Source organism: Homo sapiens, chromosome X (genome assembly GCF_000001405.40).
Source record: "Homo sapiens chromosome X, GRCh38.p14 Primary Assembly".
NCBI lineage: Eukaryota > Metazoa > Chordata > Mammalia > Primates > Hominidae > Homo > Homo sapiens.
In genome coordinates this window covers 30,577,769-30,603,743 of record NC_000023.11, presented here as the reverse complement: position 1 = coordinate 30,603,743, position 25,975 = coordinate 30,577,769, and the positions used below count along the sequence as shown (strand labels likewise).

The 25,975-nt window shown below is 42.1% G+C and overlaps 3 annotated features.

Moving 5' to 3' along the window:
- Positions 6,228–6,277: an enhancer, noted in NCBI's record as "active region_29509". NCBI's record gives its function as "activates an Ori minimal core promoter by ATAC-STARR-seq in GM12878 lymphoblastoid cells {active_cell/tissue: GM12878}" and the evidence as "EXISTENCE:reporter gene assay evidence [ECO:0000049][PMID:35858748]".
- Positions 9,788–9,897: a silencer, noted in NCBI's record as "silent region_20724". NCBI's record gives its function as "represses an Ori minimal core promoter by ATAC-STARR-seq in GM12878 lymphoblastoid cells {active_cell/tissue: GM12878}" and the evidence as "EXISTENCE:reporter gene assay evidence [ECO:0000049][PMID:35858748]".
- Positions 25,747–25,956: an enhancer, noted in NCBI's record as "active region_29508". NCBI's record gives its function as "activates an Ori minimal core promoter by ATAC-STARR-seq in GM12878 lymphoblastoid cells {active_cell/tissue: GM12878}" and the evidence as "EXISTENCE:reporter gene assay evidence [ECO:0000049][PMID:35858748]".

Below are 25,975 nucleotides of genomic sequence, written 5' to 3'. Positions count from 1 at the left end.
GCAGTGTTTGTGTCCCTGATTACTTGAGATTAGGGATTGGTGATGACTCTTAAGGAGCATGCTGCCTTCAAGCATCTGTTTAACAAAGCACATCTTGCACTGCCCTTAATCCATTTAACCCTGAGTGGACACAGCACATGTTTCAGAGAGCACAGGGTTGGGGGTAAGGTCACAGATCAACAGGATCCCAAGGCAGAAGAATTTTTCTTAGTGCAGAACAAAATGAAAAGTCTCCCATGTCTACTTCTTTCTACACAGACACGGCAACCATCCGATTTCTCAATCTTTTCCCCACCTTTCCCGCCTTTCTATTCCACAAAGCCGCCATTGTCATCCTGGCCCGTTCTCAATGAGCTGTTGGGCACACCTCCCAGACGGGGTGGTGGCCGGGCAGAGGGGCTCCTCACTTCCCAGTAGGGGCGGCCGGGCAGAGGCGCCCCTCACCTCGCGGACCAGGCGGCTGGCCGGGCGGGGGGCTGACCCCCCCCACCTCCCTCCCGGATGGGGCGGCTGGCCGGGCGGGGGGCTGACCCCCCCACCTCCCTCCCGGACGGGGCGGCTGGCCGGGCAGAGGGGCTCCTCACTTCCCAGTAGGGGCGGCCGGGCAGAGGCGCCCCTCACCTCCCGGACGGGGCGGCTGGCTGGGCAGGGGGGCTGACCCCCCCCACCTCCCTCCCGGACGGGGCGGCTGGCCGGGCGGGGGGCTGACCCCCCCCACCTCCCTCCCGGACGGGGCGGCTGGCCGGGCGGGGCGCTGACCCCCCCACCTCCCTCCCGGACCGGGCGGCTGGCCGGGCAGAGGGGCTCCTCACTTCCTAGTAGGGGCGGCCGGGCAGAGGCGCCCCTCACCTCCCGGACGGGGTGGCTGGCCGGGCAGGGGGGCTGACCCCCCCCACCTCCCTCCCGGACGGGGCGGCTGGCCGGGCAGAGGGGCTCCTCACTTCCCAGTAGGGGCGGCCGGGCAGAGGCGCCCCTCACCTCCCAGACGGGGCGGCTGGCCGGGCGGAGGCTGACCCCCCCACCTCCCTCCCAGACGGGGCGGCTGGCCAGGCGGGGGGCTGACCCCCCCACCTCCCTCCCGGACGGGGCGGCTGGCCGGGTGGGGGGGCTGACCCCCCATCTCCCTCCCGGACGGGGTGGCTGGCCGGGCTGAGGGGCTCCTCACTTCCCAGTAGGGGCGGCCGGGCAGAGGCGCCCCTCACCTCCCGGACGGGGCGGCTGGCCGGGCGGGGGCTGACCCCCCCACCTCCCTCCCGGACGGCACGGCTGGCCAGGCGGGGGGCTGAACCCCCCACCTCCCTCCCGGATGGCATGGCTGGCCGGGCGGGGGGGCTGACCCCCCCCACCTCCCTCCCGGACGGGGTGGCTGCCGGGCGGAGACGCTCCTCACTTCCCAGATGGGGTGGCTGCCGGGCGGAGAGGCTCCTCACTTCTCAGACGGGGCAGCTGCCGGGCGGAGAGGCTCCTCACTTCTCAGACGGGGTGGTTGCCAGGCAGAGGGTCTCCTCACTTCTCAGATGGGGCGGCCGGGCAGAGACGCTCCTCACCTCCCAGACGGGGTCTCGGCCGGGCAGAGGCGCTCCTCACGTCCCAGAGGGGGCGGCGGGGCAGAGGCGCTCCCCACATCTCAGACGATGGGCGGCCGGGCAGAGACGCTCCTCACTTCCTAGATGTGATGGCGGCTGGGAAGAGGCGCTCCTCACTTCCTAGATGGGATGGCGGCCGGGCGGAGACGCTCCTCACTTTCCAGACTGGGCAGCCAGGCAGAGGGGCTCCTCTCATCCCAGACGATGGGCGGCCAGGCAGAGACACTCCTCACTTCCCAGACGGCGTGGCGGCCGGGCAGAGGCTGCAATCTCGGCACTTTGGGAGGCCAAGGCAGGCGGCTGGGAGGTGTAGGTTGTAGTGAGCCGAGATCACGCCACTGCACTCCAGCCTGGGCACCATTGAGCACTGAGTGAACGAGACTCCGTCTGCAATCCCGGCACCTCGGGAGGCCAAGGCTGGCGGATCACTCGCGGTTAGGGGCTGGAGACTGCCCGGCCAACACAGCGAAACCCCGTCTCCACCAAAACCAGTCAGGCGTGGCGGCGCGTGCCTGCAATTGCAGGCACTCGGCAGGCTGAGGCAGGAGAATCAGGCAGGGAGGTTGCAGTGAGCCAAGATGGCAGCAGTACAGTCCAGCTTCGGCTCCGCATGAGAGGGAGACCGTGGGGAAAATAACCCGTTCTAAAGTATTTTGTTATAGTAGAGTCCAAAGGGACTAAGACACACCTTCATCCAGTTGGCTTCCTTACAGCTTCAACTGGCACATGAGCTAAGTTGCCCTTCCTGTGAGTTTGCATAACCTTTTAGTTCTAGTTCTCAGAGGTCACCGGTAGACTGCCCTCTCATAAAAATTTAAAAAAGAAACGCAGAGCCTGGCCGGCCACAGTGGCTCACATCTGTAATCCCAATACTTTGGGAGGCCAAGATGGGAGAATTGCTTGAAGCCAGGAGTTCAAGACGAGCTTGGGCAAGTAGTGAGATCCTGTCTCTCGAGCACTTGGCCATCGATCTGCCTTCCTCCTGGACAGCAGACACTGGGCAACATCAAGTGTGCAGTCCCTAAAATACATCAAAGCTGGGATCACTTCCCCTCCTGGGTAGCTTGGGACCTCCAGTCCCTTTGGAAGAGTTGGTTCATTTTCTTTTTAGGAGGCCTTCTTGAATCTCTAGTCGTCGTCAGGCTTAGGTCACACTACCCATGCACTGATCAGCCCTGCCACGTGGGGGAGGCTCCAAAAAATGAAGCGGTTCCAGGGGTGCCAAGGTTCAGAGCAGAGTCTTGAGAGCCTGAGGGGCAGGAGGAGGCAAAGGTCTTTGAGGACGAAGGGGTTTGGCCACAGTCCCGGAAGATCTCAGGTCGTGGGGCTTCTGTGAGCGGGCACATCCCCTGTGCCTGTGTGATTGTGAGCTTGTGTGCTTGTGTGGTTGGGGGTCCTTCCTGGAGGAGGCATCTAGGTTGAGGGCCCCAGGCCGGGAATGGGGTGGGGCCTGTCGTCAAGGAAGGGACTCAGCCCTGGAGGTTTCTGTGAGAGCTCAAGCCACAGGAGCCACAGGATAAGAGGAGTGTGGCTGCAGAACCCAGGTGGCAGGCCTTTCCTCAGGCCCCTTACTCCTGACCTGGACGAGGCCGGTCTTCCTCAAGGAGGTAGGAGGTATCCTGGCCAGCAGATCAGCCAGAAGCTCTAGGAGGAAGGTGCTGCGGCCGGGGACTCTGCTGCCCTAGACAAGACTTCATTTCCTTCCATGCAGATGGCTGTGTGGGTTCCTGCTCTGTTGAGTGAATGTTCCCTCCACTTTATTTTAAATATACAAATAAAACATATTTATTATAAAAGTAGAAACCTCAAATAAGCAAAAATGGAGAGGGAGAAAAATTTTTCCCAAATATCGTCTTTTGAAGATAACCACTGTTAAATTTTGGTGGCTACCCTTATGAAGACAAACATTTTTCTTAGTAATCTTTTTATAATATTGAGTAGAAAATAGCTTTTCTCTCACACTATAATTTTATTTTTGAAATATTTACTCTCTTTTTGCATACCTTCCCAGAGATAATGTATTTAGAACTATAAATATATATAACATATAATCTGTTATATACATTATATTAATAATATAATATAATTATTAATATAATATATATTTCATATATGTGTATATTTCATATATTCACTTATGTGGGATATATATCCCATGTAAGAAATATATAAAGGCCGGGCGCGGTGGCTCACGCCTGTAATCCCAGCACTTTGGGAGGCCGAGGCGGGCGGATCACGAGGTCAGGAGATCGAGACCATCCCGGCTAAAACGGTGAAACCCCGTCTCTACTAAAAATACAAAAAATTAGCCGGGCGTAGTGGCGGGCGCCTGTAGTCCCAGCTACTTGGGAGGCTGAGGCAGGAGAATGGGGTGAACCCGGGAGGCGGAGCTTGCAGTGAGCCGAGATCCCGCCACTGCACTCCAGCCTGGGCGACAGAGCGAGACTCCGTCTCAAAAAAAAAAAAAAAAAAAAAAAAAGAAATATATAAAATATTATATATAAACATATACACACAGACACACGTATTATATATATGTGTGTGTATATGTATGTGTATATATTCATATATATGTGGAGTGTGCTATTCATTTATTTGGGATGAATAGCACACTCCAAATTCTTAGTTGAGAATCATCTAGGACATATATATATTTAGATATATGTATATGTATATATGTATATGCATACATATATGCATATATATGTTTATATACACACAAATATGTATATATATGCATATATATGTGTGTATATACATATGTGTGTATATATATGTGTGTGTGTGTATATATATATATCCCACATAAATGAATAGCAGACTCCAAACATTATTTAACACCTTATTTTTTTCTTATACTAGATCTTGGAGATCTATTACATTTCAGTTCACTGAAATTTCCAATGTTTTCTCTAGGTGGCAAAAACTATTAAAGTGAAAGACATCTTTTTTTGAGTGAGACTAATTAAAACAAACAAAGAGAAGGAAATATATTTTAAATGACACTCAGAACCCCTAATGTCACGAGGCACAGAGAACAGCAGTTAGGCAAAGAACAAGAGGTATGCAGTGGGTGGTAGGGGACTGGCTAGAGCTGGGAAATGGTGGGGATGGCATTGCTCAGTTCTAGCTGGGAGGATAGACTGGGAAAAACAGGAGTGGCTGAGGTCAGCCACTAGAGATAGGAAGGGAAAGAAATTTATGGAGAATGAGCAAGAACTATTGAAATCCTTAAGAATCCCTGATTTTGTTCTACTCTGTATATGTGGACAGAGGATATTTCTGCCTAGCTGCCATCCCCAGTTTATGCTTCACAGTACATCCTTGTAGCCTATCTTAGTTTCTGTCCTACTTGATTCTCCTGCCTCTTGCAGTTCTCTCCACAGCAGGGCTGCCCTGATGTGAGGCGACTCTCAAGGCCAGTCTGGGGCCTGTTTTCTCTGGCCTTGCTTGAGGTGGCTTCTTCACCATGGCTGATATAGAGGCCAGGAAGGACTCAACCTCTCCTCCCCTGAGACTCTCCTAGGGAATCCAGAATCCTCATTCAATATCTTTCCTATCACAGTGCTGTGTTGGAGCACTGGCTTTTCACAAATCCTTCTCTGTTCTTTGCCTAGAGGTGGAAAATCTTGGAGAATTAACAGCCACTCCCTGCTTTCTAAGGGAATGGCCTTCTGCTAACCTTCCGAGGGGCTCAGGTTATCCTTTGTGTAATAATTCTTGAGTTGGGGTGGGGATTTCTGCTTTCCTCCAGTGACAGTCTTCGACTTGGATCTAGGATTGGTCTTCTTCATGAAAGTAGAGGTTTTGTTTTGTACAATGCCTAAAATAGTCCTTAGGAGAATCTCTGTCTTCAGAAAAAATATGTGTCGAATGAGTGAGTGGATAAAAACGTAGTTAGGTTTCTAAGGTACCAGAAAAACTAACTTAAGCAGAGTGCAAGTGGAGTCTATGCTAAGAAAACTATGGATGAGAACCAATAAGTGTAGCAATGCTCGTAGGGGAAATGTCTTCAGAGATTCCTGACCCCTTGAGGCAGCTCTAACTGGCAGAGTACATCCTTTAGTTCCAAGCTTCCAGTGGAGTCCATCTGGGCAGAGACTGGAGTTCTAGAGTTAGGAAACAGAGACTCAAATAGACAGTGGGAAGGCCTGAGCAGGGAGAAGTCCATATTAGGTTTGGGCCTGAGGGGCTGGAGTAGGCATGAGGGAGTGGATGAGCCTGGGGAAATGAGGGTTCCTGTGGAAAGGACAGGTTGGTTGTCCCTTTCTTTTTCACTTATATCACTGGGGAGTTCTTAGATGGAATGAGTAGAGACTGAAACCTTAGAGTGGGCGGAAGAGGGTAAGTGGAAAGAGAGAGAGAGAAGAAGCAGCAGCAGTTAAAACGCTTGGAGCCCTTAGTTACAAAACAGGATTTTCACTTCTCTTTTTTTTTTTTTTTCTTGCTGGTAGATGCTGTTGCCCACTGAGGGAGGGTTTTCCTGTCCCCAAAGCCCCTTCCCTTCTTGCAGAGCCCCTTCGCCTTAATTTTACCTGGGAAAGCCAAGAAGGAGCCATCAGGACTCAGGAAGTAAGACTGAGAAAAGATGTAGATGTGGCAGGGAAACAGAGTCAGAGTCCACAGCAGGGTGTACAGTTAGGGACAGGGAGGTGATGAGGGAAGAACTTCTATTTCCCAACCCCAGCATGATCCAGAGGGAGGCAATTTCTGAGCACACAGGAAGGACCAAGTTGTTTGCCTTTGTGTGCTTTTTCATAAGTAAACATGAATAACCTTTCTTTCTAGATAAGGAGTCTTGCATTGGCTGAAGAAATGGAGTTCCATTTAGGAAAAGGAGCTCTTGTCTTGGAAGTTAACACACAAACCCATTTTAGAAGATTGAGTAACAACACCACTACCATTATTTTTAGAAAAAGGAAATACACCCCAAGACGACTAATTATTGTGATGGCAAATGAAGGAAATGGTTTTATTGTCAGATCCATGATTTTTCCGGTGCCCTGGTCTTCTCCAGGAGCAGGTGTGTTCTTTGATGGGTGTCTGTCATATGCTCAGTGTGACATAGACCACATTCCTTTCCCATCTGCAGACTTGACCACGACATCCTGATCTCAAAATCTGAAAATGTAAACTGAACTACACCCCTTTTAGGAATCTATTCTTAGTGATTTCTGTGAATTAACTTCTTGCTAAAATTTCCACACACTTAAGGTTTTTCCACACATGATTTTGTCTCTCCTCGAGGAAATGAAACAAATAAACCAAGATCTTTTGATCATATGACATTTTGGATGCAAATAGGCAAAAGTATTTGTTTCAAGCATTGAAGTACTTCCTTTATTCAAGTAATAATTACAAGTATCTTAATTATAATTTTTTTATTCAGAGTTTTTCATTACTATTTCTACTTAGGAGATTTTGTGGGATTTTTTTGTTTTGTTTTGTTTTGTTTTTTGAGATGGAGTTTCACTCTTGTTGCCCAGGCTGGAGTGCAGTGGCGCGATCTCGGCTCACTGCAACCTTTGCCTCCCGGGTTCAAGCAATTCTCCTGCCTCAGCCTCCCGAGTAGCTGGGATTACAGGCATGTGCCACCACACCCGGCTAATTTTGTATTTTTAGTAGACATGGGGTTTCTCCATGTTGGTCAGGCTGGTCTCGAACTCCCGACCTCAGGTGATCCACCCGCCTCAGCTTCCCAAAGTGCTGGGATTACAGGCGTGAGCTACCATGCCTGGCCAGGAGATGTTTTAGTAAAATGGTTTTGAAGCCATTCCTCTTGGGCTAAAATCTTAGCACCATAGTTACTAGCTGTGTCCTTGAGAAGTTCTTTGGGTCTCTGTTTCCCTATGTTCTAAAATAGGGTGTATATGGGTACCCGCCTGTTGGAATGATTAAATAAGTTAATACATTTAAAGTTCAACTGTTTTTAGTGCATAATAAATGCTTGATATGCCTTAATATCTGTTATTTACACCCTAAACGGTTCAATAGAAGGAAAACAGCTTGGCGTAGTGGCAACAGAGTAAGCTTAGAATCAGGAATATTTCGATCTAAATCCTGATCCTTGCTTGATCTTAGAAAATTATTTAGCCTTTCTGAGCTTCAATTTATTTATTTGTAAAATAGGAATAGTAACATATAGTTTGTGGATGTTACTGTGAATCTTAAGACAATAAATAAATAACCCAAGTATGGTGAATATTCTAATCTCAGCAATAAATAGGTAAATGCATGCTAAACTTGCCCCGCCTGCCTCCCCTACCAGTACTGCTTTATGTTCTTTTAGGTCAGCAGTTCTCAAAGTGTGCTTCCCAAGGCATTTCAGGGGAGTCCATATCAAAACATTCTCGTAATAATACCAAGATGCTGTTTTCCTTTTTCACTGTATTAACGATTGCACTGGTGGTGCAAAAGCAATAAACAAAATTCCGACTCCTTAGCGTGTATCAAGGCAGTGGTGCTAAACTTTACTAGTAGTCATTGTATTTTTCATCCCCACACACTCACAGTTTTAAACTCACAGGTTGCAGTGAGCAGAGATCGTGCCACTGCACTCCACCTGGCGACAGAGTGGGACTCCATCTCAATAAAATAAAATAAAATATAATATAATATAAAAAATAAAGTTAAAAAATTTAAAAAAATTTAAAAGCCTCTCTCATTTAAGAATGTCCTTGATGAAACAGCAAGAATTATTAATTTTATTAAATCTTGACTCAAGTACACTTAAAAAACTTCCCTGCAATGAAATATGAGGCATGCATAAAGCACTTCCGCTGCACACTGAAGTAGAATAGATGCCGCCAGGAAAAGCATTTGAGTGATTGGGTTGATGGCTTAACTAGTGGCTTTTCTCGTGAAACACTATTTTTACTCCAAAGAGCAACTGGCAAACCATGGTTTTTCAGACTTGGAGATCTGGCAAACATTTGCTTGAAAATGAATGAAGTCTGTTTGTCACTTCAAGGAAAACAACTGACAGTATATATGTGGCCAACAATGAAACTCAAGTGTTCAAATGAATATTACAATTTTGAAAAACCTATTCCACTATTGGGATTTTGACAGCATCTCAGTACCTACTGACTCTCCTGATGAGACTGGTTGTGATATTAACAAATGTGATGTTTTGATATTATACAGTAGGAAATGTGCCAGCATTTGGAAGGGCTGCATAACTCAGGGAACTGATATTTTTTCAAATGACCAATGTATGATATAAAATCTTGCATGAGTAAATGATGCATTAAAAGTATAAGATGGATCAATGGGTTTTAATATAATGAAGTACAAGAAGTTCATAATATACTTTCTGTTCCACATTACAAGCAACCTTTAAGAAATTGTCACTTGTCAAGTTTTGGTGTTGTGTCCAAGAGGAATATCCACAGTTATCTGAAAAGCTTTTAACACACTCTTTCCTTTTTCAACAGCATATTTCTGAGAGGCTGGATTTTCTTCATATACTTCAAGTAGAATTCTTCAATCAAAACAGCTTATCCCAATAGATTAAATGCAGAAACTAATTGTCTTCTATAAGCCAGGTGTTAAAGAGATTTGTAGAAATAGAAAAGGATGCTACTCTTCTCGTTAATTTTTTTGAAAAATAATTTTTAAATCAAAAGTACATTATTTATATTACCACATAATGGGTCTATTATTATAATTATTAAATGGGCCAATAAATGTTTCAAAATTTCTTAGTTTTAATTTTGCTTATGGACAATATCAATATAACCCACATAAGAGCTCTTTGAAATTCTCCATAATTTTGTTTGCTTGTTTTGTTTCTTTATAGACAGGGTCTTGCTTGTTGAGTGCAGTGACTATTCACAGGTGTAGTCGTAGCTCACTGCAGCCTTGAACTCCTGGGCTTAAGCAATCCTCCTGCCTCAGCCTCCCAAGTAACTGGGACTGAAGGCACGCACCACTCTCCACAATTTTCAAGTGTGTAAAGGAATCCTGACACCAAAACGTTTTATAACTGCTACTTTAGATCATTATTTCTGAACACTAGAATGGCTCAACACTAGAATCACCTAGGGAACTTTAAAAAATGACCAATGCTTGGCACCAACCCAGATAAATTAGAGTATTTGTGTTTGCAACCCAGGTATTAATATATATGTACTTTTAGAAACTCACCAGGTGGCGCACCTGTACTCCCAGCTACTAGTGGGGCTGAGGCAGGATGATCGCTTAAGCCCAGGAGGTTGAGGCTGCAGTGAGCTGTGATTGCACCACTGCACTCCAGCTTGGGTGACAGAGTGAGACCCTGTTTAAAAAAAAAAAAAAAAAACAGCGAAAAAACTCCCCAGATATTACTAATGTACATCCAAAGTTAAAAACTATTGCTGTAGGGTAGTCTAATCGTAAGAATCTTCTGAGGCAGTTGTTAAATGTGGCAGTCCCAGGTCCAAATCTAATGAACCAAATCTCCAGGGGAAGGGCCTAGAAAATCTGCATATTTAATAAGCACATCAGGTGATTCTTAAAATGAGATAATTTGGGAAACATTCCACCTTTCTCTTCCCAACTTCCTCATTCTTGATGACAGGCTCATTAGTTGCTAACAAAGGCATTATTCAACTAAATTCGACCCACAGAAGTTTGGAGTATATGCCTTAAAACCTATCTTTTAATGTGAGATTTTGCTGCAGAAATGGCTTTAAAACTTAAAGTTTTGAAAGTATAAAGACACAGTAGTTAGTTGTTTGACAAGGCACTATTCTCGTGTGGAAGGTCTCTTGTCCAGGCAACTCAAATTTCACAGTTTTGTGGGGGGCACTTTATGAATTTGAGTTGGGTAAATGAATGAATTCTGCATGGGCAGCTGACTCTTCACCTTAAATGTTCAGAGGGACCTACGTCAGAGGACCAGAAAGAACCAGTTTTTCTGACTTGATCATCTTGTAATTCAGATAAAAGCTTTGTAAATACAAAAAAACATGTCCTCATGAATTGCAAGAAGGAAAATAGACCCAAGGAGAGGTTCAAATGGATTACCTTGGAGTGCAGACTAGAAAGGGGTTTATGGGAATCACTTGAGAAGTGAAACTTGCCCGAATAGAATATATCCTCAAATTCCGACTTTTTCTCTTCTGGTGAAACAGGAAGAAGGCACTGTCAGTATTAAATAGTAATTTCCTGTCTGCAACACCACAGTCATTTTTTTTTTCCTGATCAGAGAAGTCCCTGAACTACGAGCCTTTTGGAGGTAGAAATCAAACCTTAGTGGTTTTTATGTATAAAATGCCTAATACCTGGCCCTTAATAAATGCTCAATAAGTAGTTTCTGAATTGAATAAAGTAGTGATCAAGTCTAGATCTCGATGTTAAAAAGGTACAAAAATTCTATAATTCTACATGGAGCATTTCTTTTTTTTTCTTTTGAGACGGATTCTCACTTTGTTGCCCAGGCTGGAGTACTGTGGTGTGATCTTGGCTCACTGCAACCTCCGCCTCCCAGGTTCAAAAGCAATTCTCCTGTCTCAGCTTCTCCAGTACTGGGACTATAGGCGCACACCACCACGCCCGGTTAATTTTTGTATTTTTAGTAGAGATGGGGTTTCACCATGTTGGCCAGGCTGGTCTTGAACTCCTGACCTCAGGTGATCCACCCGCCTCGGCCTCCCAAAGTGCTGGGATGACAGGCGTGAGTCACCGAGCCTGGCCTATATGGAACATTTCTTTAAGGTAACTTGTGTTCAACAAGGCTCACATTGAAAATTGTAAAAATTGTAAGAAAAACTTAGTTCTTCCAGAAAAGATACACATAAAATTGAAAACAATGTTTTCCTTTGGAAAGTGGAAATAAGGGAGTTAGGGGAGAAGACTTTTTTCTTTATAGCTCTGTACCATTATATATATTTTAAACCACGAGCAGGTAATTTATATAAATTATTTTTAAATGACAAGTTCAAAATTTGAATTGCATAATCATTTAAGCGGAGATGTTGAAGGGACTTTGGAAATCCCTCTCCCTTCCCCAGCCCCAACTCACAGAAAAGTTCCAACGGCCTCCTCACTGTTACCTACATGTGGCAGTTGTTAGAATGCCCACAGTTGTCCACTTCTTCCATCAAGAGGTAGATTAATGAGAGTTAATCCAAAGTAATTGTACAGAAATATATTAATTTTATCCTTTCCTATCCTATTACTATTTAATTAACTCAGTAATCTATACTTCTTTGATACTTGCACAATACCTTTAAAAACTGTAATTTATCTTTTTACATATTTGTCTGATTTCTGCCATTGTACTGTTGATTCTGAATGGTAGGAAGTTTTTCTCATCTCTGTCTCAAAACGCTGTGTACTAGATGTTGTATATAATACATAGAGAATAGTCCTCTGGCTTTGGAGTCAGAAAAGCCTGGGTCCAAATTCCTGGCCCTGACTTCCTGTGTGACTTTGGACAAAGTAATTAGCCTCTCTGAAATCCAAACTTTTCTTATTTTAAAAAATAATCAAACATGCTCTATAGGATTATTTTGAGGATTAAATGACATAAATCAAACCTTTTAGTCTATAATGCACGTATAGTAGGCATTCTGCAAATAAGAGCTTTTGCTATATAAAGGCTTAAGATGCAGAACGTAGGTGCCTTGAAACCTTGTTACTCAAAGTGTAGTCCTCCACAGATGAGCACCATTGCCATCCCATGGGAGATTGTTAGAAATATAGAATGTCAGGGCACACCCCAGATCTACTGAATCTGGATTTAAACAGGATTCCCAGGTGATTCATATGCGTGTCAAAGTTTGAGAAGCATTGTCTTAAAAGACCATTCTTATTGTATATGTTTAAAGTGTACAGCATAATGTTTTAATATATTGATCTTAATATACATATACATAGTGATTACTGTAGTCAAGCAAATTAACATACCTAGCATCTCATAGTTACCTTTTTCCTTTTCTTTTTTTGTGGTAAGAGTACTTAAAGTCTAAGAGATTTTAAAGTAAAGCCAAGAGATTTGTAAATCAATTTGATATGAATCTGTACAATTAAGCACTTACATCTACTGGATTAGATTCTCATTAGATTAGATTCTTATCTCATTGTTTGATGGGAATTTCTGATAATGAGCCCCCAACAGAAAGTTTGCATTGTCATATGCTTCGTAGTAATCCCTTCAAGAGACTTGATAGAAAGGATTTATTTTTGCTCTAAATTTTGAAACTAATTAGTTGACTTCTACTAAATGTGAATGTAGAGGGATTCATTAATTTAAAATTTATCTTGAAAGATGTTTTTCATTAGCCTCAAGCATTGTTCTTCTCACCTCCAGGAGTTACAGAGCAAGGGAAAGAATTACAAAGAATAGGAATTGCTTTATTGTTATAAATGTGTGCCTGTAAATAGACAGAAGTTGCTTAAACAAAACTAGCTCTTCGATCTATAATCTGATATATACATTTGCTTGAATTTTACTCATAGAGGGACAGGACCCAAAGAGGGGTTTGATGTGGTCAGTTGGAGACAGAGATGAAAAATTTCTACCCCAGAAGCCTCTCCATAGAGAGGAAATCTGGAGTCTTAAGGGCTCAACGGCACTAATTTCACTTCTCCATTGCTTTGTGAAATAACGTTACTTGGACTGAAGTTCCAGTTTCTCCTCCATAGGACTCATGTGTCCCTGACTGTCTTTATTAACATGAGCCAGTGCTATGGCATGATAAAAATAGAATCAAGGGGGGAAATAAAAACTAAGAAGCTTTCCAAAGAGAATGTAAATTGTAAAAAATTTGGAACTTTCTCTGGGGTGTATAAATCCCACCACTTGGCTTTGGAGTGTCTCGTCCCTTTTCCTTAAAAAATATGCCAAAATTGCACAATCTCGTGGGATTAGAGGACACCAAGATTATGCAGGTTTAATTTTTCTAGGCTCTTTTACCTCTGAATATAAGTCTGAGAACTGTTCAACTGGCTCTCACAAAGGAACCTCTGAACTTCTAACAACTATTTGATGACAGAAACTAAACTTTTCATAAAAGCTTGTATAAAGAGCAATATTTAAACTGCTTGGAAGCTTTGCTCTCGAGAGCCACTGTCCTAAAACAGTCAAGTTGGAAGAGAGAGATGGTTTGGGGAGCCCACTATCATCTTTAGAGTTGAAGGTTTACCAAGCTCATTCTTTCTGTTATAGTTCAAATTATCTAAACATGCAGAGAAAAGGATGCTAAGGAAAACAGAATCCATATCTTACCTCAAAATACAGTGTTAACCTATTAGTTTAATGTGTCTTTTTCATTTAATTTAGTTCTTTACAGAGTACCATATTTTGGATGTTTCTCCCTTCCAAATCTCATGTTGAAATTTGATCCCCAGTGTTGGAGGTGGGGGTCTAGTAGAGTTTGGGTTGTGGGGGCAGATCCCTTATGAATGACTTGGTGCTATTCCTGCAGTAATGAGTGAGTTCTCACTCTATGGGTTCTGTGACAGCTGGTTGTTAAAAAGCACCTCCCACCTCTTGCTTTCTCTCCTGCCATGTGATCTCTGCACACATCAGCTCACCTTCACCTTCTATCACGAGTAGAAGCAGCCTGAGGCTCTCACCAGACGCAGATGCCCGATCGTGAACTTTTCTAGATGTCAGAATCATGAGCCAAAAAACCTTTTTTTCTTTATAAATTACTTGGCCTCAGATATTCCTTTATAGCAAGGCAAATGGACAAAGACAGAAAATGGGTACCAAGGAGTGGGTTGTTTCTATAAAGAAATACCTGAAAATGTGGAAGCAGCTGTGAAACTAGGTAATGGAAATAAAGTCTCAGATGGAAATGAGGAACTTATTGGGAACTGGAGCAAAGGTCACCCTTGCTGCATAGCAAAGAACTTGGCTGCATTATGTCCTGTGCTCTATGGCTTTGTGGAAGGCTAAATTTAAGAATGATGACCTGGGGTATCTGGAAGAAAAAATTTCTAAGCAGCAAAGCCTTGAAGAAGTGGCATCGTTGCTTTGAACAGCTTATGATCAGATATGACAGCAAAAGAAGGATCTAAAGTTGGAATTTATAATTTAAAAAGAAGCAAAAATCAAAACTATAATGAGATATCAACTCACTCCAGTTAAAACGGTTTTTATCCAGAACCATTGGATAAAATAACAAGTGCTGGCGAGGTGTGGAGAAAACGGAACCCTCATACACTGTTGGTGGGAATGCAAATTAGTATAACTGTTACGAAGAGCAGTTTAGAGGTTCCTCATAAAACTAAAAATAGAGCTACCATATGATCCAGCAATCCCACTGCTAGATATATACCCCAAAGAAAGGGAATCAGTATATCTAAGAGATATCTATACTCCTATGTTTACTGCAGCACTGTTCACAATAGCTAAGGTTTGGAAGCAACCTGAGTGTCTGTCCATCAACAGATGAATGGATAAAGAAAATGTGGTACATACACACAATGGAGTACCGTTCAGCCATAAAAAAGAATGAGATCTTGTTATTTGCAAAAACATGGATGGAACTGGAGATCATTATATTAAGTGAAATAAGCCAGGCCGGGCGCGTGGCTCATGCTTGTAATCCCAGCACTTTGCGAGGCTGAGGCGGGCAGATCATGAAGTCAGGAGTTCGAGACTAGCCTGGCCAATATGGTGAAGCTCTGTCGCTATTAAAAAATACAAAAATTAGCCGGGAGGCGGAGGTTGCAGTGAGTAAAGATTGTGCCACTGCACTCCAGCATGGGCGACAGAGCAAGAGTCCATCTCAAAAAAAAAAAAAAAAAAAAAAAAGAAAGAAGAAAGAAAGAAAGAAAGAGAGAAAGAAAGAAGCCAAGCACAGAAAGACAAACATCACATGTTCTCACTTAGCTGTGGGAGCTAAACATTAAAATAATTGAATTCATGGACATAAAGAGTAGAAGGATGATTAACAGAGGCTGGGAAGGGTAAGAAGGTGATGTTGGGGGGAGTTGGGGGTGGTTAATGGCTACAAAAAATAGAAAGAATGGGCTGGGTATGGTGGCTCATGCCTGTAATCCCAGCACTTTGGGAGGCTGAGGTTGGCAGATCACCTGAGGTCAGGAGTTTAAGACCAGCCTCGCCAACATGGTGAAACCCCGTCTCTACTAAAAAATACAAAAATTAGCCAGGTGTGGTGGCTGGCACCTGTAATCCCAGCTACTCAGGAGGCTGAGGCAGGGAGAACTGCTTGAACCCAGGAGTCAGAGTTTACAGTGAGTTAGAGTGCCCACTACACCCTAGCCTGGGCAACGGAGCGAGACTCCGTCTCAAAAATAAATAAATAAATAAAAAGAATGAATAAGATCTAGTGTTTGCTAGTACAACAGGGTGACTATCGTGAATAATAATTTAATTGTGCATTTAAAAATAACTAAAAGAGTATAATTAGATTGTTTGTAACACAAAGGATAAACGTTTGAGGGAATGAACATCCCATTTACTCTGATGTGATTACACATTGTATTATTATCTATATCAAATTATCTCTTGCACCCCATAAATATATAGCCTACTAACTACCCACAAAAATTAAAAATTAAAGACAATAACAATACAAAATATTTCCTTAAAGTAAAAAAAAAAAGAAGCCGAACATCAAAATTTGGAAAATTCACGGTCTGATCATGAAGAAAGAGTGTTTTCAGGAGACAAATCTAAGGGTACTGTGGAGCAACCACTGTGGAGATTAGCATGGCTAAAAGGGAGCTAGGTGCTAATATTTAATACAATAGGATATAGGGCCTGAAGGCATTTCAGAAAATTTTGAGGCTGCTCCTCCCATCCACTGGCTCAGAGGCCTAGAAAGACAGAAAAGTTTTGGGGGAGATGTCAGGGTATTGCTGCCCTGTGCCACCTCAGGATGCTGCTCCCTAGATCCTGACCACTCCGAGTGGACCAGCCATGGCTGAAATGGCCCCAGATACATCTCCAGCTGACACTCCAGAGAATGCAAGCTGTACACTCTGGTGACATCCATGTGGTGCTAAGTCTGCAGGCATGCAAAATGCAAAAGCTGTACCTAGTGGAGCTGTAGGAGCAGGGCCGCCACTCTCCAGATCTCAGAATTATAGAGCCATTAGTAGTGTGCAACTCCAGCCTGGAAAAGCCACAAGCCCAAATTCCAGTCCATCAGAACAGCCACCTGGGCTGTACCCAAAATAGCCATGGGGGTGGGGCTTCCCAAGGCTTTGGGAGCCCAACCCTCCCACCAATGTGCTCAGTATGTAGGAAATGGAGTTAAGGGAGATTATTTTGGAGCTTTAAGATATAATATCTGTCCTGCTGGGTTTCAGAATTGCTATAGAGCCTGTTACCTTTTTCTTTTGGCCTATTTCTTCCTTTTAGAATGAAAATGTTTGCCCAATTACTAATTTTAGAAGTAAATAATTTATTATTGAATTTACAGGCTCACAACTCTAAGGAACTTACTTTAAGTCTCAGATGAGACTTTGGACTTTGAACTTTTAAACTGGTGCTGGAACAAGCTAGAACTTTTGGGGACTATTGCTATGGAATGATTGTATTTTGCAATATGAGAAGGACGTGCTATTTGGGGGCTAGAAGCAGAATGGCATGGTTTGCATGTTTGTTGCCCCAAACCTTATGTTGAAATTTGATCCCCAGTGTTGGAGGTGGAGCCTTGTGGGAGATGTTTGGGTCATGGGGCAGATCCCTCATGAATGACTTGGTGCCATCTTTGCAGTAATGCATGTGTTCTCATGGAATTAGTTCTATGAATGCTGGTGGTTAAAAAGAGCCTGAAACTTCCCTCCCTTCTGTTGCTTCCTCTCTTGCCATGTGATCTCTATACAGCAGGCTACCCTTCCCCTTTGCCTTGAGTGGAAGTAGCCTGAGGCCCTCACCAGATGCAGATGCACAATCTTGAACTTTCCAGTCATCAGAATTGTCAGCCAAATAAACCTTTTTTCTTTTGTTTATTTATTTTTGAGATGGAGTTTTGCTCTTGTAGCCCAGGCTGGAGTGCAATGGTGCGATCTCAGCTCACTGCAACCTCCACCTCCCAGGTTCAAGTGATTCTCCTACCTCACCCTCCCGAGTAGCTGGGATTACAGGCATGCACCACCATACCTGGCTAATTTTTTGTATTTTTAGTGGTGACAGGGTTTCTCCATGTTGGTTAGGCGGGTCTCGAACTCCCGACCTCAAGTGATCCACCTGCCTCTGCCTCCCAAAGTGCTGGGATTACAGGCGTGAGCCACCGCACCCAGCCAACCATTTTTCTTTATAAATTACCCAGCCTCAGGCATTCCTTTATAACAATACAAACAGACTAAGACACAGAAGCACCAACAAGAAGAAATAGCAGCAGATTCAACTTTCCCTTTTCCTTTCTTCTTTTGAAAGGCACACAGCAGTAAGGGTAATGATAGACTTGGGTTTAGGATAACAATCAATGTATGAAAACTGAGATTCTGTACAAATTTGGTTGAGTCTTTGGCCTCCTGGTCTTAACAGAAGTAAATTATTATGAGGCCAAGGCAGAGTTCATACAAATACTCATTTGTACAAGCTTCAAAGAATAGGTAAATACACAGCATAAGTACAATGAAAATTCTCAGTTGTTCAACTATCAAACAGAGCAAGTGTTTTCTCTTTAATATCAATTTATGATAGAAGGAATAAAGCATTATCTTGGCTTGAGGAGGAAGTGTCTCTGTGTCCCAAAACCTGAAAATCAGACGGGGAGAGGGATAAGAGGTTAAAAAAGGAAAATACGGGTGGGGGGAGGGGGGAGGGATAGCATTAGGAGATATACCTAATGCTAAATGACAAGTTAATGGGTGCAGCACACCAACATGGCACTTGTATACATATGTAACAAAACTGCACGTTGTACACATGTACCCTAAAACTTAAAGTATCATAATAATAAAATTAAACAAATAAAAAAGGAAAATATAAAAACGAGGGAAGTGGGGCAGAAGTTTGTCAAAACGGGCTTAAAAGAAACAAGCCCTTGTAGTAAAAACTCTGTCAAGTATTTCCAGGGGTTGATTTACCTTAGAGTTAATAATAGAGATTTGAGTTTTGGTGTTAGAGATTTTTGCGAGATTGTTAAAGCAGGTAATGTTAGGTAAAAGCAAAGGGTGACAATTAGAAAGCAGAAATCAAAACATTTCATGAGACTGCCAATTCCTTCAGCATTCAGGTATTTGTTTTACTGACTCTGTATAATGCCAACTAAAGGGTAATGGCCAAAAAAAGAGGAGCTATTCTATGTACTGTATGTGGCCTTAAAATAAAACGTATGGAGATTACATTCAATTTCCCCTTTAACTTATATCATATTTCATTATAAATCATTTTTCACCTGAAAAAAATTAAAAAATGCTTCAGAAACTTTACAAATGCCATAATCATATTATTTGATGCTGAAATGAAACTCTCTCTGAGTTGGAAAATGGGAGTTATTCAAGAGCAGACAGTATACATTACAATCAATTACATCCTAAACAACAAAATCTCTAGCGCACAAGAAGCCATTACAGCTTCATAGAAATTCAGAATGTTGTACTTAATAAAGCAGTTATAATCTGCCATCCCATCCTCAAGATAAGCAGCATTGCTCTAGAGCTTACTTTATGGATTTCTTTGGTATAAATTAGACCTACTTAAGTATAACTAAGAATTTTTAAATGTCATATTAATTTTACCCTATGGGATATGTAACATGTTCCTAAATTCTAATATGTTCATGTTAATTTTTATAGAACGTCAATTAAAATTAATCTTCTGCAGAGGAAGTGCATTAATACCTTATATGTAATACTGTAATTGTGTCTGCAGGCAATAGCGATTATAAAAATTACTAAGGTAAACTATGAAAGTGAATACGGGATAATAGGGTTGTGTTTTTAAAGATGTAATGTTAAACATTATTATGAAAAAAACTTTACTTTTATATCATTATGTAATCTCATATGGGCACCAGCACTTTTTGTTTTGTTCACTTTTCTTTTCTTTTTTTTTTTGAGACAGAGGCTCGCTCTGTCACCCAGGCTGGAGTGCAGTGGCGCAATCTCCACTCACTGCAACCTCTGCCTCCCGGGTTCAAGCGATTCTCCTGCCTCAGTCTCCCGAGTAGCTGGGACTACTGGCCTGCGCCACCACGCCCAGCTAATTTTTGTATTTTCAGTAGAGATGGGGTTTCACCATGTTGGCCAGGATGGTCTCCATCTCTTGACCTCGTGATCCGCCCACCTCGGCCTCTCAAAGTGCTGGGATTACAGGCGTGAACCACCATGCCTGGCTGTTTTGTTCACTTTTCTTAGAGGCATTTCTGATGTTATGACAGCTATGATGTCACTAGGCAATAGGAATTTTTCAACTCCATTATAACCTTATAGGACCACTGTGGTGTACACTGTCATGTATGCGGTCTATTGTTGACCAAAACGTCGTTAGGCAGCACATGACTGTACAGTGAAAATTATTATTATTATTATTATTTTGAGATAGAGTTTCACTCTTGTTGCCCAGGCTGGAGTGCAATGCGTCATCTCAGCTCACTGCAACCTCCACCTCCTGAGTTCAAGCGATTCTCCTGACTCAGCCTCTCAAGTAGCTAGGATTACAGGCGCCCGCCACCATGGCCGGCTAATTTTTGTATTTGCAGTAGAGATGGGGTTTCACCATGTTGGCCAGTCAGGTCTTGAACTCCTGACCTAGATGATCCACCTGCCTCAGCCTCCCGAAGTGCTGGGATTGCAGGCATGAGCCACCGCGCCCGGCCCTGTCTAGTGAAAATTAAACCTCTCTTCCTATCTGACATTTGTCTCTCAGATCTCCTCCCCAGAGGCAATCACTATTGTCACCTTCTTGTGCATGAATCCAAAAATTATAAGTAGTAGTGTGCAATGACACAATATCAACTGGGTGGTGGTGTGGTGACCTTCCTAAAGGTGGGGCTACATCAATAAAGAACTTGTTAAATACATTATTGTTGGAACATCCAAAACCTGGAAGTCTAAGTAGTTATTTAAAAGGATGAGGTCAGTCAGCAAGTACTAATGGTGAAAAATTATACAAAAAAGGTAAGAGAATAGCACATGTAGTATCCTACCATTTGTATACAAAGAAGGATATATATAATTTTTGGATTGATACACAAGGAGCTGACAATAGCAATTGCCTTTGGGGAGGAGATCTGAGAGATAAAGATCAGATAGGAAGAGAGGTTTAATTTTCACTGGACAGTCATGTGCCGCATAACGACGTTTCAGTCAACAATGGACAGTGTACCTGACAGTGGTCCTATAAGGTTATAATGGAGCTGAAAAATTCCTATTGCCTAATGACGTCATAGCTGTCATAATGTCATAGAACAATTATTTTATTTTAAAAATAAAACACGTGTAGCCTAACTGCACAGTATTTATAAAGTCTACAGTAGTGCCCAGTAATGTCCGAGCCCTTTGCATTCACTCACCACTCACTCACTTACTCACCCAGAGCAACTTCAAGTCCTGTATCCTCTATTCTTGGCAATTGCCCTGTACAGCTGTACCACTTTTCATCTTTTATACCATATTTCTACTGTACCTTTTCTATGTTTAGGTATGTTTAGATACACAAATACTTACCACTGTGTTACATTTGCCTACAGTATTCAGTACAGTCACATGCAGTATAGGTCTGTAGCCTAGGAGCAATAGGCTACACCATATAGCGTAGGTGTGCACTAGGCTCTACCATCTAGATTTGTGTAAGTACACTCTGCGATATTCGTACAATGAAATCACCAAATGCTGCATTTCTCAGAATGTATCCCTGTTGTTAAATGATGCAAAACTATATTTTTGTACCACTTACAGTTTTTAAAAACATGTATATAATTTTTTTAAAGAAACAAACTATTGAAAAAGCGAAGGGAATAGTGAACAGTGTCAAATACTATAGAAATGTCAAAGAGGATATAGGCTGAGATAAAGGCTATTAGACTTGATGATTAAGGGGCTTTGGTAACTTTGAGAAAATAGGTTTAGTTGAGTCATTTGAGTATTGAGAGTGGTCAGAGAGTATGCTTCAGAAAGACAAATAATTTATCCTGAGATAGTTGAAGTCTGATGGAATAAATCTGTGATTGGTCTGTTGTGTGTGTGTGTGTGTGTGTGTATATATATATATATATGCTTAATATATACTTATATATATATATACTTAATATATACTTATATATATACCTTTCTCTGGTTATGGAAAGGCAATAATGGATTTTTTTTTTTTGAGATGGAGTCTCGCTCTGTTGTCCAGGTTGGAGTGCAATGGCGCGATCTCCGCTCACTGCAACCTCCACCTCCCAGGTTCAAGCGATTCTCCTCCCGAGTAGCTGGGATTACAGGTGCATGCCACCATGCCCGGCTAATTTTTGTATTTTTAGTAGAGACAGGGTTTCACTATGTTGGCCAGGCTGGTCTTGAACTCCTGACCTCAGGTGATCAGCCCATCTTGGCCTCCCAAAGTGCTGGGATTACATGTGTGAGCCATCGTGCCCGGCCAGGCAATAATGGTTTTATATGGGACTGGAAATTGGCAAGTAGGATGTGACAGAAAGACATATTGTTGTGGAATTTAGAGTGCTACTAGGAGCACTATGAGGTGAATAGAGGGTAGCCAGGGTGGAGGAAACCTGGTGAGGATTGAGAGTGAGCTAGGAGGGATGCTATCATAATGGAAATAACTTGGAGGGTGTTTTGTACAGCAGGAAAAGTAATTGAATAATAGGAATAATGTCCATTTAGAGGCACAGATATCGAGGCAATAACTTTTACCTACTATTCAGCAGATTAATAGAAAATCATATTATAAGATTTCAGCTACAAGGGATATAATTCTATTTTATTTTAACCAGTAAAGAAAAAGCTGTTTAAAGCTGATTTTGTATGCTCAGGTTTTATCAAATGAGAAATAGTAGAAATAGTAGGTTAGCTTGGCATAGTGCCCATTTTTTCCTTACAGAATCTTTTTTCTGCAAAGGAGGTTTTTCCATCAAAGGGGTAACTTTAGAGACAAAATCAAGAGTGGGCATAATCAAAATTCTGCATATTGTATTTGAATAAAACAGTAAGTGTGACTTAAGACAACGTGGAGAAGATGGAATCACCCCACAATGGTTATTTCATTGTACTTCCAGGCGAGTTCTTGGTAACCCACCATAAAGTGTTTCTGGAGGTAGGTAAGACCTACTCTACGGTGTCTCATGACTGTGGATGAAGCAACACTAAAGTGAAATAAATCAATGTTTGGCCCTACAGGTGCTATGGTCTCTTGATCACAGCTAAATCCTTGATGAGCTAAAAATGCCTGAAGACATCACTGAACCTGATTTTGTAAGATTACACTGTAACTGAATTTGCCCCTGGGGCAATGAGTCTGGTGTTTCCTGTGATGGTAGGTCAAGTCAGATTCAGGACTAGTTGAGAAACTGTCCTTATCATGGCTCATACATGAGAGCATGCCTTCTAAAGTGGATTTAAGTAATGTTTCATGAAAAAATAATGCAGAAAATCATGACTAACAAAAATAAAAATGCTAGTATACTTTAAAATATATGACATTTTAAGATAAGTCGTTGAACAAAAGTAAACAAAATCAAACCCATTAAGTGGAAATGTTCACCTCTTAAGAGTTTGGAACTTAGCTTTGTTTTTTGTTTTGCTTTGTTTTGTTTTGTTTTGTTTTTTGTATCCATAGAACTTAGTTTTGATTGGAGTTAGGTAGAAAAAGACAGTGAAGTAGTTATGATTTGGGCAGGCTTATTCTTTGTTGGTTAACTTGAAGCAGTCAGGGTAAACCAGATAAATGATTTTGAAACCCTTAATTTTTCTGCTTTTGGGCAAGAAGAACTGACCCATTTGCAGATAGACTTGTCTGTCCTCCAGAAAAGACATAGATTATAATACATTTGGGCCGTACAATCAAAGTTAAATATGACTTAAGAATACTAGTTTTTAAAATGAAAAAGTAATACATACACACAGAAATTTCAAAAGGGTATAGAATGAAAAATGAGTCTTGTTCCTGAAACACAATTGCTTATTTCTGATTTCTTGTGTGTAGCATAAAAAAAGAAATATTCTAGAAAGGCTATAACAAATGCTGGTGAGGATAGGGAGAAAAGGGAACTCTCATACACTGTTGGTGGGAATGTAAATTAGTACAACCACTATGGAGAACACTTTGGAGGTTCCTCAAAAAACTAAAAATTGAGCCACCATAAGATCCAGCAATCGGACTGCTGGGTATCTACCCAAAAGAAAGGACATCAGTACATTGAAGAGATATCTGCACTCCTATGTTTGTGGCAGCACTGTTCACCATAGCTAAGATTTGGAAGCAACTTCAGTGTCCATCAACAGATAAATGGATAAAGAAAATGTGATACATATACACAATAGAGTACTATTCGGCCACAAAAAAGAATAAGATCCTGTCATTTGCAACGACATGGATGGAACCAGAGGTCATTATGTTAAGTGAAATAAGCCAGAAACAGAAAGTCAAACATCACATGTTCTCACTTATTTGTGATATCTAAAAATCAAAACAATTGAACTCATGCACATAGAGAGTAGAAGCATGGTTACCAGAGGCTGGGAAGGGTAGTGGAGGGCTGGTGGGGCAGGTAGGGATGGTTAATGGGTGCAAAAACTAGTTAGAAAGAATGAATAAGACAAAGTATTTAATAGCACAACAGGGATACTGTAGTGAATAATAACTTAATTTTACATTTTAGTATAACTAAAATAGTATAATTAGATTTTTTGTAACACAAAAGATAAATGTTTGAGGGGATGGATACCCCATTTTTCATGATGTAATTATTATGCATCATATGCATGTATCGAAACATCTTATGTACCCCATAAATATATACACCTACTGTATACCTACAAAAATTAAAATACAAAATTTTAAAAAGAAATATTCTATTACATAAGCATGTATATACATATATTCCTTAAAAATACAAACTGGAAAATGAGTTCTTGCTAAACAATATATGTTAGAGATCTTTTTTTTTCTTTTTTTTTTTTTTTGAGATGGAGTCTCGCTCTGTCACCCTGGCTGGAGTGCAGTGGCACAATCTCAGCTCACTGTGACCTCCACCTCTCGGGTTCAAGGGATTCTCATGCCTCAGCCTCCGAGTAGCTGGGATTACAGGTGCCCACCACCACGCGTGGCTAAGTTTTGTATTTTTAGTAGAGACAAGGTTTCACCATGTTGGCCAGGCTGGTCTCAAACTTCTGACCTCAAGTGATCCACCTGCCTCGGCCTCCCAAAGTGCTAGGATTACAGGCGTGAGCCACCGCACACAACCTACATAGGATTTTAAGTATGCATACGTTCTCATTTACTTGGCCAATATCTTATTTATGGATATAATTTTTTCTAGTCATTTATTTTCTCAAGCAATGCTGCAACAAATATCTTTTCACATAAGTCTTTGTGTACAAGTGTAAACATATAGCTTGGACAAATTTATAAAAAATACAATTGTTGGGTCAAAGGGTATGAATATTTGTATTTGAGAGATACTGGGAAATTGCCCTCTAAATATGTTTACAATCTCATCAGTAGTGTTTGAGAGTGCTTGTTTCTTCACAACTTTGCCCACACCATGTATTATTGTTTTGACCTTCGGTATTTGGAGAGGGAAAACTTTTTTCTTTTTTTTTTCTTTTGAGACGGAGTCTCGCCCTGTCGCCCAGGCTGGAGTGCAGTGGCGCGATCTCGGCTCACTGCAAGCTCCACTTCCCGGGTTCACGCCATTCTCCTGCCTCAGCCTCCCGAGTAGCTGGGACCACAGGCGCCCGCCACCGCGCCCGGCTAATTTTTTGTATTTTTAGGAGAGACGAGGTTTCGCCGTGTTTGCCAGGATGGTCTCGATTTCCTGACCTCCTGATCCACCTGCCTCGGCCTCCCAAAGTGCTGGGATTACAGGCGTGAGCCACTGCGCCCGGCCGAGAAAATTTTTTTCATTTACATTTTTAAAAATTATAAGTACCATTGAGAAATAATACTTCTTAAAAATTATAGATTAGTAACGAAACAGAATTTCCTAAAGTCATATGTGACTTTGGCTTTCTTTTGGGTGAAGGATCCCAGATAATGTACTTTTCTAGAAAGGAAATTTAATTCTGTTGCTAGGGTTCTTACAAAATGTGTAACCATAAACTATTTTAATAAGAGACAGTTTCGTAGATAGGTTTCATTTTTCGAAAAAGGGGAAGAAACACCATTCTGTGGCTTGATGTGGCTTTGTCAGTTACTGCCTCCCCACCTCCCGGGACTTCCCACTGCCTCTTTAGCACAAATCGGACTTGAACAAAAACAACTCTTTTTCCATGGGACCAATTATAAAAAGAATGGCTTTGCACTGAGCAGC